The sequence below is a fragment of the Homo sapiens genome, chromosome 2, assembly GCF_000001405.40.
Source record: "Homo sapiens chromosome 2, GRCh38.p14 Primary Assembly".
Taxonomy (NCBI): Eukaryota; Metazoa; Chordata; class Mammalia; order Primates; family Hominidae; genus Homo; species Homo sapiens.
The window spans coordinates 85,627,631-85,643,234 of record NC_000002.12 but is presented as its reverse complement, the minus strand read 5'-3'; the positions used below and the strand labels follow the sequence as shown (position 1 = coordinate 85,643,234).

At 45.5% G+C, this 15,604-nt stretch overlaps 1 protein-coding gene across 9 annotated transcripts in view; it reads right to left on the bottom strand.

The window, feature by feature from the left end:
* USP39 (ubiquitin specific peptidase 39) overlaps window positions 1–15,604 on the bottom strand; it is a 46,423-nt gene that overhangs the window by 6,049 nt on the left and 24,770 nt on the right. For all 9 annotated transcript variants that reach the window (NR_046347.2, XM_006711922.3, NM_001256727.2 and 6 more), the window contains 5 exons: window positions 12,289–12,514; window positions 7,105–7,182; window positions 5,799–5,866; window positions 3,844–4,032; window positions 2,117–2,259 (listed from right to left, as the gene is read on the bottom strand). Coding sequence is in view for 8 of the 9 variants with exons in the window: in NM_001256727.2 (NP_001243656.1) it covers window positions 2,117–2,259; window positions 3,844–4,032; window positions 5,799–5,866; window positions 7,105–7,182; window positions 12,289–12,514 (704 nt within the window). In the remaining variant the exon portion in view is untranslated. The remainder of the gene's footprint in view (window positions 1–2,116; window positions 2,260–3,843; window positions 4,033–5,798; window positions 5,867–7,104; window positions 7,183–12,288; window positions 12,515–15,604) is intronic.

The window sequence follows — 15,604 nt, the reverse complement described above, 5'->3', positions numbered from 1 at the left end:
ACAGGTGTGAGCCACCGTGCCTGGTTTGGAGAAGTCTTTATACTCAAGATTTCATGACTGAACCAAAACTGTCCATGCGGCAAAAGAGAAATACTACGTTTAATCATTTTGTGTTAGTAAATAGGAAAAGGAGCAAACTATTCATTTTTTTTTTTTTTTTAGTAGAGACAAGGTCTTGCTATGTTGTCCAGGCAGGTCTCAAACTCCTGAGCTCAAGCAATTCTCCCACCTCGGCCTCCCAAAGTGATGACATTACAGATGTGAGCCACTGCGCCCAGCCTAAAAGAGCAAACTATACTCATCTCCCAACCACAGCAACAGACCAGTTAAGAGAATGGCTAATTACCTGAAAGTGAAACTTTAAACCTGCCCTCAAAAATCTCTATCTCCAAATAAGCAGAGGGTGCCTAATCACCATAAGTCTGATAACTCTCCGACAAAAACAGGATGTGTTATGAATAAAACATAGGAGAAGACAGGTATGAAAAAGATCCTTTTCAAGAAGTATGGACAATGAAATGATCCAGAATTGTATTACTCGAAGTAATTACAGCACATAAAATAATTAAAGTGCAAGTTTCCAGAATTAGTCACAATTTGATGTTCTCTAAAAGACTGCGTAGTTAAGAAACAATCTTTTTCTCAACTTCTCCGAAGTAAGCTTTCTGAAGGACAAACTTTTATATTGGGCCTACTCTAGGCCCATAAAAGAAACCAATGGGGCAAGGAAATTTCTGTGGCAACTGAGCAGGAAGTACCATTGATACACAATCTTCCTCCCTCTGGAGTTGCCCTTGGAATCCAGACTGCCCCTACCTACCAGGAACAGACAGGTGACTGGCAATTCACAAGAGGCTAGTGCTGAAATAAAACTTTGACACACAGACTTTCGAAGAAAGCACCTCTGTCATCCTACTCAAGGAGGCAGAGAACAAACCTCCATGTCCCCCCATTTAATTCTAGTCACAAACAAGATGCTAGTGGAGAAAAGTGTAGAAAAAGAGAAAAAGAAATTCCCCTGTAATTCTCAACTGCAAATGTTCTCTCTCCTCACCCTCCATGATTCTAAGAGTCCTGGCAATACTATAATAAGATGTTACACCTGGACAAACCCCTAGGGCTCAGGCCCATCTACTCCAAGCCTCTCATTTTATCTATGAGAGAACATATCCAGAAAACACGCAAACTATGGGTCTGAGGTCCCACCACTAAGACAGCCTAAAACTCAGGCCTCTTAATTTTAGATACTACTTTCTTAAACACTACATGGAATTTAAAACTGACACTATTTTCTTTCTTTCTTTCTTTTTTTTTTTTTTTTTTTTTTAGCACAGTCACACTCTGTCACCCAGACCCAGGCTGGAGGGCAGTGACACCATCTCAGCTCACTGCAGCCTCAATCTCCAAGGTTCTAGCCATCCTCCTGCCTCAGCCCCTCAAGTACCTAGGACTGCAGGTGTGCACCACCACATCTGGCTAATTTTTTGTATTTTTTTGTAGAGATGGGGTTTTGCCATGTTGCCTAGGCTGGTCTTGAACTCCTGAGCTCAAGCGATCCAGCTGCCTTGGCCTCCCAAAGTGCTGGGATTACAGGCGTGAGCCACCACGCCCAGCCAAACATCTTCTTAAGTATGAAAAACCTTGTCTCTTGAGAACTGAAAACCAACAGTCTACCCCCAAAAAGGATCTTGCAGAAGTTTTCTGAGTTGGAAGGAAGCAAACTAAAAGCATCTAGTACAACTCTAGTGTGCAAAAAGGTGTGATGGCCAGCAAATAGATGGGCAGACCCTCACTACTCAGGACATCTTCCAAACCAGGCAGAATCCTACCTGTCTTATCCTACTTGCATCATTTCTTCTTCTCTACGCAGGAAGACTATAATTTCCAGCTAGCAACAGGAGAGAAGATAAAATAGGGATTGCATCCCAATAAACATCAATCTTTTGTGGTCCCTGAAATAAGTGTATCCTTCCAATAAAAACTCTTATCTACTGTAGGTAGGCTCTGTTCCTTGTAATCCCCAACTAAGACAGTCCAAAATTAATACTGGTAAAAATACAAGAGAAGAAATCCAGGTTCACTCCCCGTGAGAGAAGTGAGGCAGGATGTTACTTACGTAATAGGGAAATTGACAATAGTTGGATTCTTCTCAACAAAGAAGTTGTTCTTAGTGAATCTCTTGATACAAAAGATTAGATATGGAGGCAACTTGGTAAGCTGGAAGCGCTTCAGAAAGTTCTCCTTGTAAGTCTTATATTCCTAGAGAAAGAAAAGAAAATTCTCAAATTAGTGCTGAAGTTCAGTAGTATTAGAGCAGGGGCATGAGTTTTTCATTTCGATTTTTTAAAATATAATTTTGCCTCACACTTAAGTTCACAAGACTCCTGGTCCGAGAAATTATGTATGAGGCTTAGGATGTGCAGTTTGGCTAAGGCTGATTTAAAAAAAAAAAAAAAAAAAAAGGCCGGGCCTGGTGGCTCACACCTATAATCCTATCACTGTAGGAGGCCGAGGCAGGGGGATCATTTCAGCACAGGAGTTCGAGACCAGCCTTGACAACATGGTGAAACCCCATCTCTACTAAAAAGGAAAAAGAAAAAAAAAGAAAAAAAAAATATATATATATATATGTAAAGAAAGAAAACTAACCAGGCACGGTGGCTCATGCCTGTAATCCCAACACTTTGAGAGGCTGAGGCAGGCAGATCACTTGAGGCCAGGAGATCGAGACCAGCCTGGCCAACAGGGTGAAACCGCATCTCTACTAAAAATACAAACATTAGCTGGGCATGGTGGCATGTACCTGTAGTCCCAGCTACTCGGGAGGCTGAGGCAGAAGAATCGCTTGAACCCGGGAGGTGGAGGTTGCAGTGAGCTGAGATCACACCACTGCACTCCAGCCTAGGCAACAGAGTGAGACTCCATCTCAAAAAAAAAAAAAAAGTATGTCTCCCCACTTTTTGGAGTTTCTCCTCTCCTAAATGACCTTCCTTTCTCTATACTACCCCAGAGGCAGGCAGAAAGCTGAAAACAGGATATATGAGAAGTACAAGAGGGGGCACTGTGGTTGGGCAGTGGTTCACATCTGTAATCCCAACACTTTGGGAGGTCGAGGTGGGAGGATCCCTTGAGGCCAGGAGTTAAAGAATGGCCTGGGCAACAAAGTGAGCACTCTCTCTACAAAAATACTTAGTTGGATGTGGTGGAGTGTGTCTAGTCCCAGCTACTTAGGATGCTGAGGTGAGAGGATCACTTGAGCCCAGGAGTTTGAGGCTGCAGTGAGCCATGATCACGCCACCATGATCACCCAGACTAGGTGATAAAGCTAGACCCTGTCTCAAAAAATAATAAAAAGGGGCACTATAAGTTAAGAGTTGGGGGTGACCAGTGAGAAATACCAACGAGTCTGGGAGGCTCAATAAAGTCAATATAATTTATAATAAATACGTCACATACATGTGGTGATTCTTACATATAAAATGAAAATGGGCCAGGTGTGGTGGCCCACGCCTGTAATCCCAGCACTTTGGGAGGCGAGGCAGGCTGATCACTTGAGGTCAAGAGTTCGAGACCAACCTGGCCAACATGCTGTCTCTACTAAAAATATAAAAAATTAGCCAGTCATGGTGGCGGATGTCTGTAATCCCAGCTACTAGGAAGGCTGAGGCAGGAGAATCGCTTGAAACTGGGAGGTAGAGATTGCAGTCAGCCGAAATCACGCCACTGCACTCCAGCCTGGGCGACAAGAGCAAAACTCTGTCTTGAAAAAAAAAAAAAAAAGAAAATGAAAAAGTCGAGAGAGCGAGGGTAAGTATAGGCAGGGCAGGTGTGTTAATGGGCTACCTTCTCAGTGATGCCATTGAACTTAGCCAGGATGTTGAAGAGTGGCACTTGGGGAATGATGAGCTGCTCCTTCTCGTCCTTGTAGAGGGGGGCAGTAGGAAGGTCCAGCGTCAGGTACATAAAAGTGGACTCCACCATTGTCTCCTGGTACTCGTCATTATGGAGCAACTGCTCTTTTTCTTCTGCTGGCTAGAAATGAATGAGAAGAAAAGAGAGGAAAGGAGTGTGACGGGTATAGGAACCAACACAGAACCGATGTTTTACCACGCCGACATTTCCTTCATCTGAAAGAACAAAGAGAAGTGCCCGAGAGATTGGGCAGTTTGGCATGCACCACCTGGTTAGATTAACTTAAGAACCAACAGGTTTCCTTCTTTAAAGATATTTTGCTTATATACCAGACTATCTAAAAAGCCCTGAGGCCAAGTGTGATGGCTCACGGCTGTAATCTCAACACTTTGGGAACAAAGGTGAGAGGACTGCTTGAGTCCAGGACTTCCAGACCAGCCTGGGCAACACAGTGAGACTCCATCTCTACAAAAAAAAAAAAAAATTGGCCGGGCATGATGGCTCACACCTGTAATCCCAGCACTTTGGGAGGCCGAGGCAGGTAGATCACCTGAGGTCAGGAGTCCAAGACCAACGTGACCAACACGGAGAAACCCCGTCTCTACTAAAAATACAAAATAAGCCGGGCGTGGTGGTGGCGCCTGTAATCCTAGCTACTCGGGAGGCTGAGGCAGGAGAATCACCTGAACTCGGGAGGCGGAGGTTGCGGTGAGCCGAGATAGTGCCATTGCACTCCAGCCTGGGCAACAAGAGTGAAACTCCGTCTCAATAAAATAAATAAATTAATTAATTAATTAAATTAAACAAAAATAAAAATAAAAATTAGCCCGGTGTGGTGGTGTGTATCTATGGTCCCAGTTTCTGGGGAGGTTGAGGTGGGAGGATCACTTCAGCAAGGGAGGTTGAGGTTGCAGTGAACCATAATCACGCCACCACACTCAGCCTGAGTGACAGAGATCTTGTCTCAAAAAGGAAAAAAAATCCATTAAAAAAAGAAAGTGGGCCGAGCACGGTGGCTCATGTCTGTAATCCCAGCACTTTGGGAGGCCAAGGGAGGTGGATCACCTAAGGTCAGGAGTTTGAGACCATCCTGACCAACATGGTAAAACCTCTTCTCTACTAAAAATAGAAAAATTAGCCAGGCATAGTGGCGCATGCCTGTAATCCCAGCTACTTCGGAGGCTGAGGCAGGAGAATGGTTTGAACCTGGGAGGTGGAGGTTGCAGTGAGCTGAGATCATGCCATTGCACTCCAGACTGGTCAACAAGAGCAAAACTCCATCTCAAAAAAGAAAAGCTCTAAGACCATCTAGGAAGCTTAGCTGAGGGCCAGGCACGGTGACTCACGCCTGTAATCCCAGCACTTTGGGAGGCCGAGGCAGGTAGATCACCTGAGGTCAGGAGTTCGAGACCAGCCTGGACCAACATGGTGAAGCCCCGTCACAACTAAAAATACAAAATTAGCTGGGCGTGGTGGCAAGCGCCTGTAATCACAGCCACTCAGGAGGCTAAGGCAGGAGAATCGCTTGAACCCAGGAGGTAGAGGTTGCAGTGAGCTGAGATGGCGCCACTGCAACTCCAGCCTTGGCGACAGAGGGAGACTAAGAAAAACAAAAAGAAAGCTTAGCTGAGCTTTCTGAAAAAACACAGCAGCACCACCTAGTGGCCAGAACACTTAAACCAGCACAGTACATCCAACCACTAACTCCCAAACTGAAAAAGTGCACTAGTATGACAGGGACCAGGCAGAGCTGCCACTAGGCAGGTGCTTTGTTGAACCTCTTCACAGGGCAAGCAGGCTTGTCAGTTCTCTGAGCATCTCTTCATCTCCCCTACGTCCCCTCAAGCAATATGAATCAGTCCAAGACCCAGGCTCAATTAACTCACCAGATCAGGATGGGGAAGCTTTTTAGTGAAGATCCTCATGGACCCCTGGAAAACATCAGTCACAATAGCTGCACAAACAGGAAGCAAGAGACAAATTCCGTGAGGATGGAAAACATGTCTGAAGTATATTTCCAGCTTCTAAATTTCTGAAATAAACCAGCATCTTCCAGCAAAAGACACAGAGCTCTCACTAAACACAGAAGTTTCCTTTTGTACTATATACCACCAGGGTACCTTTATAATTATTTGTGTAAATAATTACTTTATTTCTCTTAAGACAACTTTTTATCCTCCATCACAGGGCCTGGTCCATAAAAGAAAAGGTAAATGTGTTCAAAATGAAGGAATGGTGATACATGAATTACAAAAAAATTCACAAGCAAAACAAGGTACAGCCAAGGAACTTCCCATAACCATAAGCTACTTTCAAAGGGAGACAATGTCCAAACTGTAATGAAGACAAGAGGACAATGACAGACTAAGAGATGGGCCAGAACAGGATCAAAGCAACAAGAGAGAAAGCACAACCAAGTTCTAGAACCCTGCCAAGACGCAAGTTAGAGAGCTCAGAGGGTTAACACAGGCTGAAGACACCTGGTAGAGAGGGCAGGGCCATCCAGTGGGAAAAGCAACAGGCCACAATCCCACATCAAGACACCATCACATCTATAATCCTAGCACTTTGGGCAGATCACCTGAGGTCAGGAGTTTGAGACCAGCCTGGCCAACATGGAGAAATCCCATCTCTACTAAAAATACAAAAATCAGCTGGGCGTGGTAGTGGGTGCCTGTAATCCCAGCTACCCTTGGGAGACTGAGGGAGAAGAACTGCTTGAACCTGGGAGATGGAGGCTACAGTGAGCTGAGACCGTGCCACTGCATAGCCTAGGTGACAGAGCAAGACTCTGTCTCAAAATATATATATAATAAAATATCATTGGGACTATAACCATATTCTAGCAAAAACTATGGAGAGGGGCCTATTCAGAAAGAACATGTAGTTTATCTATAACATAGATACTAGCCTACCCCAGATAAACAGTTAACAAAAGAATGGGAAGTTGCCTCAGCCTCCCAAGTCGCTGGGACTACAGGCACATCCCACCACACCTGAATAACTTTTGTATTTTTGGTAGAGATGGGGTTTCGCCATGTTGGCCAGGCCGGTCTCAAACTCCTGACCTCAGGTAATCCACCCACCTCGGCCTCTCAAAGAGCTGGGATTATAGGCATGAGCCATTGCGACCGACCGCAAAGTTTTTTAAAAGGGAACAAAATAACTCCTTTTTATAAGTAAATGACTTACTCTTCTTTTTCTTCTTTGTGCCCCCCAGAGCTGAGTGCAGAGCATTCAGAAACCAAGACAGAAAGTCAACGCCATCTCCTGGAAAAAAAGGAAGGGTGGAAAACGTTGAAGCTAAGTGGCATTAGAGTTAACTTAAACCATGCACTGGTTGGCATTCCTGGTTCTCCCCCTTCCTCTCTGGCCATGCCATCCCATCCCAACTGCCGTGCATCCTCCTCTATCTTATCATTAAATGCTGGCACTCCTCAAGGTCAAGCTCTCACTCCTCCGATCTTGACTCTCTCCATAGGCTCTCTGATTCATACCAGGACTGTATCGCATCACTCAGTGATGACCAAAACAAATGAATATGACCTTTTAACATCCACTTTTCTCCAGAGTGAGCTCAAACTTCCTTCTTCCCTTCTGCAGCTCATGAAGATTCCTGTCTTTTAGGAAAGTGACTAGCACCCAGACTGAAAAGGCATACAGAACAAGGGGTTCTGAAAGCAGATTGACAATATTCCATGAAAATGCTGTCTACGGAACCTGCCACTCAGACATTTCAGGGATAGTGGCTACTTTTTTTTTTGAGACAGAGTCTCACTCTGTCGCCCAGGCTGGAGTGCAGTGGCATGATCTCAGCTCACTGCAACCTCCGCCTCCTGGGTTCAAGCGATTCTCCCACCTCAGTCTCCTGAGTAGCTGGGATTACAGGTGCCTGCTACCATGCCCAGCTAATTTTTGTATTTTTAGTAGAGACGGGGCTTCACCATGTTGGCCAGGCCGGTCTCGAACTCTTGACCTCAAGTGATCCTCCCGCCTCAGCCTCCCAAAGTACTGGGATTACAGGCATGAGCCACTGCGCCCAGCCAGATAATGACTACTTTCTCTTCAACGAAGATTTGCTTCTATTTAGTTCCTCTTTGCTCACGCAATTAAAATCTCAAAGACTATAGTATATCTTCCTCAACTTCATTTCCCTAAACCCAGAGGCCTCTAACAACTCCATAGAATGATTTTCTTTTTATTCCCTGTACACAGAATGCTCTTATGTAACAAACTACCACAGCAAGAAACACTTCACACATCTAAACACTCGGCAACTAATAACCTACTAGGTCTCAGAGATGGAGGAAATTATGTTTATGTGACATCATAACTATCCTAGCCAATAGTGGCTATGACAGAAGAAACTAGACACGTTGATTCTCAGGGTACCCTGGTTTTTCTGCAACTCTACAACCCAATTATGCCCTAACTTTCCAAGCTGCCAAAAGCTGACAGGCCCCACTATCCACCTTCAGGCCATAAGTCACCTGTGGAACACAGTGAATGCTGACACTCATCCATCCATTCATGGTCCACAAAAAAATCATTCTCAACACAAATTTCTTCCTTTCTTGCAGCCTTAATATAAAACCCTGGGAGCTCAGGGAGTTGGTCCAGAAACAGAAATGTCTCTATAAACACAAGATAACCTAGCCACCTAGTTCTTGGGAATTAGATGGTCCTACAAAGCACACAAACAGGCTGTCACCTGTTTAGAAGGGTGAGGCACCCAGATTTTTTCTTCGCGACACAGCGTCTCACTCTGTCACCCAGGCTGGAGTGCAGTGATGCAACTTCAGCTCACTGCAAGCTCTGCCTCCCAGGCCCAAGGAATCCTTCCACCTCAGTTTCCCAAGTAGCTGGGACTACAGGCGTGTGCCATCATGCCCGGCTAACTTTTACATTTTTTGTCGAGAGGGAGTCTCACTATGTTCCTCAAGCTGGTCTTGAACTCTTGGGCTCAAGCAATCCTCCCACTTCGGCCTCCCAAAGTGCTGGGATTACAGGCATGAGCCAGCGCGCCTGGCCCCAGATTAAGATTTCATTGGCCATGTTGTAACCAACCCGAAGTGTATCTTATTTCCTACTAACCCTGAAACAAGTGCTCCATGGGCCCCATTCCTTACCACCTTGATTCCTCCTATTTCTCCTTAAGTACCAGAGACTCTTAAAAGCCACTACTCGGCCGGGCGTGGTGGCTCACGCCTGTAATCCCAGCACTTTGGGAGGCCGAGGCGGACGGATCACGAGGTCAGGAGATCGAGACCATCCCGGCTAAAACGGTGAAACCCCGTCTCTACTAAAAATACAAAAAATTAGCCGGGCGTAGTGGCGGGCGCCTGTAGTCCCAGCTACTTGGGAGGCTGAGGCAGGAGAATGGCGTGAACCCGGGAGGCGGAGCTTGCAGTGAGCCGAGATCCCGCCACTGCACTCCAGCCTGGGCAACAGAGCGAGACTCTGTCTCAAAAAAAAAAAAAAAAAAAAAAAAGCCACTACTCGACGTCCCCTCTAAGTCAATCCTCAGCCAGAATAATGTTTTTCTTTTTATTTTACAGACAGAGGTCTCACTCTGTTGTCCAGGCTGGAGTACAGTGGGACCAACATGGCTCACTGAAGCCTCTACCTCCTAGGCCCAAGCGATCCTCCAACCTCAGCCTCTCAAGTAGCTGGACTACAGGTACATGCCACCATGCCTGGGTAATTTTTAAAAATTTTTTGTAGATATAGGGTCTATGTCACGCAGGATGGTCTCTAACTCCTGGGCTCAAGCAATCCACCCACCTTGATCTCCCAAAGTGGTGGGATTACAGGTTTGAGTGACCATGCCCAGCTGGAATAATGTTTTAAAAACAAATTCATAAGTCTGATGTCACATCTTTGTTAAAAGCCTTCAATGAGGCCGGGCATGGTGGTTCACACCTGTAATCCCAGCACTTTGGGAGGCCGAGGCGGGTGGATCACCTGAGGTGAGGAGTTCGATACCAGCCTGACCAACGTGGTGAAACTCCGTCTCTACTAAAAATACCAAAAAATTAGCCAGGTATGGTGGTGGGTGCCTGTAGTCCCAGCTACTCGGGAGGCTGAGGCGGCAGAATAGCTTGAACTGGGGAGACAGAGGTTGCAGTGAGCCGAGATCACACCACTGCACTCCAGCTTGGGCAACAGAGTGAGACTCTATCTCAAAAAAAAATAAAAGCCTTCAATGACTCCAGCTTTTTTCAGGATATAATCCAAGCTCCTTATGGTAGCTTATAAAGCAGGCCATCTGGTCCCTCCCTCAGGATCTACACCTTGGCTCTCCACTGACCCCAGGAGTCCAAGGGTCCAGCTACTTGCAGTCTCTGACTATGCCAGGCACTTTTCTCTTCTGCCCACCATGTCCTCTCTACCTAGAATGCCTACTCCCCATCCCAACCTGCCTCCACCTCTACCTAAAACTCAGGGTCTCTTCCTCCACTCTGATCTCTGATCTACCTCCCACATGTTCAGCTGAGGGGGTCCTTACTCCATGCTCCCCTCCCATAGCACAGCACTTAACACCTGTAATTACCTTTTCTTAAAAAAGATAGTTGAGCCGGGCGTGGTGGCTCACGCCTGTAATCCCAGCACTTTGGGAGGCTGAGGTGAGCAGATCACAAGGTCAGGAGCTCGAGACCTGCCTGGCTAACACGATGAAACCCTGTCTCTACTAAAAATACAAAAAAATTAGCTGGGCATGGTGGCACGCACCTGTAGGCCCAGCTACTTGGGAGGCTGAGTCAGAAGAATCACCTGAACCCAGGAGGCGGAGGTTGCAGCGAGCCGAGATCACACCATTGCACTCCAGCCTGGGCAACAGAGCAAGACTCTGTCTCAAAAAAAAAAAAAAAAAGATAGTTGAAATTTGCTTATTGATTTTTAAAGACAGGGTCTTCCTCCGTTCCCCAGCTGGAGTGCAGTGGTGTAATCATAGCTCACTGTAGCCTTGAACTCCTGGGCTCAAGCAATACTCCTGCCTCAGCCTCCCAAGTAGCTCAGACCACAGGCTTCTGCCAGCACACTCAACCTTTCTACATAACTATTTCCCCACCAGACTGGGAGTTCTTCAAAGAGAAAAATCGTGTTTCTTATCCCTGCTGCTCTAAAACCTAGCACCATGAGTGAATGCTGAATAAACTAATACAGATGCTAGAGGATACCATATGAGATTCAGGTACAAAGTTACACTGTCCGCTTTACTCATAAGACAGTAACAAATTGGGTTTGGAGAGAAAAAAACAGTCAAAATAGTTCATCAGAGGCCGGGCGCAGTGGCTCACACCCGTAATCCCAACACTTTGGGAGGCCGAAGCGGGTGGATCACTTGAGGTCAGGAGTTCACCTGGCCAACATGGTGAAACCCCCTCTCTACTAAAAATACAAAAATTAGCTGGGCATGTTGGCGGGCACCTGTAATCCCAGCTACTTGGGAGGCTGAGGCAGGAGAATCCCTTGAACCCAGGAGGCAGAGGTTGCAGTGAGCAGAGATCACACCACTGCACTCCAGCCTGGGCAATGAAGCAAGACTCGGTCTCAAAAAAACAAACAAAACAAAACAAAACAAAACAAAAATATCATCAGAATACCCTAATGTGGGACACGAAAGAATGAAGATAGGTGACAGGTGTTTAATAAAAGCTAGTGTCTTTCCCAGCCTCCTGGTATTTCCCTAAGCCATACAGTTTAATTTACCAAATAAGACCGACTTTCTATTCAGCTAGAATCTCCTGGGACTCTTAGCAGGGCAGATTGGTCAGAGAAGAATGAAGAACCTAACCACACTATCCACTGGACACTCCTGGCTACTCTCAAGATTCACTGCAGCTGGGCACAGTGGCTCATGCCTGTAATCATAGCTACTTGAAGCTGAGGCAAGAGGATCCCTTGAGTCCAGAAGTTCAAGGCTGCAGTGAGCTACAAGTCCCGCCACTGCACTCCAGCCTGGTCAAAAGAGCAAGACTGTCTCTTAAAAAAAAAAAAAAAAAAAAGGCCGGGCGCAGTGGCTCATGCCTGTAATCCCCAGCACTTTGGGAGGCCGAGTAGGGTGGATCAAGAGGTCAGGAGTTCGAGATCAGCCTGGCCAACATAGTGAAACCCCATCTCTGCTAAAAATACAAAAATTAGCCGGGCGTGGTGGTGCGTGCCTATAGTCCCAGCTACTTGGGAGGCTGAAGCGGGAGAATCGCTTGAACCCTGGAAGTGGAGGTTGCAGTGAGCTGAGACCATGCCATTGTACTCCAGCCTGGGTGACAGAGTGAGACTCCATCTCAAAAAAAAAAATTCACTGCCAAGTGGAAATAAATTTGTTCATCAAACTAGTTTTGTTGTCCTGAAACATGAATGACTTGTTCTTACCTTGTTTGGTGATCTGAAAAGTCTTCTTACTGCAAAGTACAACTGCCTGAAGCATCTCATGGGGAGACACATGTGCCTTGAAATTTCGAGGGTTCCAGAGCTTTCTCATCAGCTCTCCAAAACGCTGGACCAACAAGAACATGATATCCCCTGGAGGACGTTTGATGTTCTTATAATTGTCTTCTTCCAGAAAGTAGTTCCGGAGAGGAGGAACATTAGATAGAGCCTAAAAATCAAACACTCCGATTAACCCAAAGCCCCTTTGTAGGACCCCTTGAGCCAAGCTCTTCCAATTAAAGTTCTCCTAATAGAATTTGTGATGTGCCTGTGATGGCCTTAAAGAGCCAAAAGTAAATGGACCCTTGGAGAATCCTACCCAGGCTCACATCACAGAAATATCATTAACGTTGAGTTTCATACGAACTACAGTTCTGCAGACAACTTTGCTGATGTGGATACCACAAAGAAGGTTAAAACAAAACAAAACAAAACACAGGTATTCAAATCTCTATCAACTTATTCAACAATTTCCTTTTGTTACTCTAATTATGCTGTGACAATACTTAAATTCATAAGGCAGAAGGCTATAATCCAAATACTCTTTCCTTCATCATCCATTTTGGTTGAAGCAAAAATAACTACCTAGGAAACACAGTTCTCCCATCTCTCAACTCCACACTAAAATAATATGAAAATTATCTTAAAATGTGATGTTTTCCCATACTAAAACCATATAATTGTACATAAAAGTAAATATAGGGAGCTGTGAGGACGCAAAGGTGTAAGAACAATACAATGATCTTTGGGGACTTGGGGGAAAGAGTGTGGGGGGTGGTGAGGGATAAAAGACTACACACTGGGTACAGTATACACTGCTTGGGTGATGGGTGACCAAAATCTCAGAAATCACCACTAAAGAACTTATTCATGTAACCAAAAACCACCTGTTCCCCAAAAACCTACTGAAATTTTTTTTTTATTTTTGGAGACCGAGTCTTGCTCCATCCCCCAGGCTGGAGTGCAGTGGCACGATCTTGGCTCACTGCAACCTCTGCCTCCAGGGTTCAAGCAATTCTCATGCCTAAGCCACCATGCCCAGCCAAAATTTTTTTTAAAAAGTAAATATACTCTGTTATGACGGAAAATGGTCGGCCAGGCGAGGTGGCTCATGCCTGTAATCCCAGCACTTTGGGAGGCCAAGGTGGGAGGATCACCTGAGGTCAGGAGTTCAAGACCAGCCTGGCCAACATGGTGAAACCCCGTCTCTACTAAAAATACAAAAATTAGCAGGGCATGGTGGCACGCGCCTGTAATCCCAGCTACTCAGGAGGCTGAGGCAGAAGAATCACTTGAACCCGGGAGGCGGAGGTTGCAGTGAGCCAAGATGGCACCACTGCACTCCAGCCTAGACAACAAGAGCAAAACTCCGTCTCAAAAAAAAAAAAAAGAGAAAGAGAAAATGGTCAAAAGGTTTAGGACAATAAAAACAAATTGTATCTCATTAAGCAGAAAGATAAAAACTAGCCGTATTAATTTCAGGAAGAAACACAGGCTCATCAGCCTGAGCTACAAAACTGGGAGGAGGGGTCTAGGCGCGATGGTTCACGTCTATAATCCCAGCACTTTGGGAGGCCAAGGTGGGCGGATCACTTGAGGTCAGGAGTCCAAGACCTGCCAGGCCAACATGGTGAAACCGTCTCTACTAAAAATACAAAATTAGCTGGGTGTGGTGGTGAGTGCCTGTAATTCCAGCTTCTCGGGAGGCTGAGGCAGGAGAATCACTTAGACCCGGGAGGCAGAGGTTGCAGCGAGCCAAGATCGCGCCATTGCACTCCAGCCTAGGCAAAAAGAGCAAAATTCCATCTCAAAAAAACAAAACAAAACGAAACTGGGAGGAAGAGGACCAAAGACACCCTAAATAAAAATGCAGTATCCCCACAGGTCCTTCCCGACCAGCACTGTGCTTACCATGAACACATTTCTTTCTTAAACAAGGTCATCCATTCAGGGAGTCAGCTAGAAGGGTTTCTGCTAAATGTAATAACCCAGGCACCTCTAAGGAAGACAACTCAGAACACAGAGAGCACTTTAACCACAGAGGGGATTAGGAAAGCCCCGACAAGCTAAGCTCAGCTAAAGAAACAAGGACTTCCTGTTTGTAGAATAATTACTAAAAAGAGAGATTTACTCTCAAAACAAGAGGATGGACAAAGTTTATCCTAATTCTCAGTTGTCTATCTTGTGGAGAAAAGGTTGCACTCTGGCCTCAGCAACAATATAAATAATATTGGTCATCCTCAGAGAAGAATTATCCACCCTCCAGATGGATGATCTGGTCCAGTCAACCCTATTTTAGTGGAAACATCATCACACAGGGTTTGTTAATCCATTTATTTTTATAAAGAGAACTTCCTATGCGATCTAAAATTCATCAGAAAGCCAAGACTAACAGCTCTGACCAAATCCAAATTCTATCTGTCCATCCTATAATGGTTTTCACTCGGCAGGGCGCGGTGGCTCACACCTGTAATCCCAGTACTTTGGGAGGCCGAGGCGAGCAGATCACGAAGTCAGGAGATCGAGACCATCCTGGCTAACACAATGAAACCCCGTCTCTACTAAAAATACAAAAAATTAGCTAGGCATGGTGGCACGCACCTGTAGTCCCAGCTACTCGGGAGGCTGAGGCAGGAGAATCGCTTGAACCTGGGAGGCAGAGGTTGCAGTGAGCTGAGATTGTGACACTGCATTCCAGCCTGGGTGACAGAGCGAGACTCCATCTCAAAAAAAAATCAGTTTTCACGCAGCCATGAGAGGATTTAAGAGGAACGATCTGATGAAAAGTCTCTCTACTTAAGAATTTGACCTTTCCAGAGACTAGGCATGACACCAAGAGCAGACACTGAATGTAAAAAATATGCCTTTACAGTTTTTTGTCCAATTCTTCATGGCAAAAATATCACTTAAAAAATTTAAAGGCCAAATAAGAACTAGCAGAAAACATGTGCAACATATGCAACAGAAAAGGGAAGAACTTTATCATATATTTCTTAAAGCTCAGTAAGACGAACCAATAGGAAAGGAGTCTGTAAGGCCCAATAACTCAAGAAAAAAATACAAATAATTAACTTTAGAAGTGATCCAAGGCTAGGTGCAGTGGCTCACACCTGTAATGCCTGCACTTTTCAAAGTCCTCAAACTTCTCCAACAGCCTCGAACTCCTGGGCTGAAGGGATCCTCCCACCTCAGCCTCCCAAACAGCTAGGACCACAGGCATGCATGCACCACTGTGCCCAGCTAATTTTTTTTTTTTTTT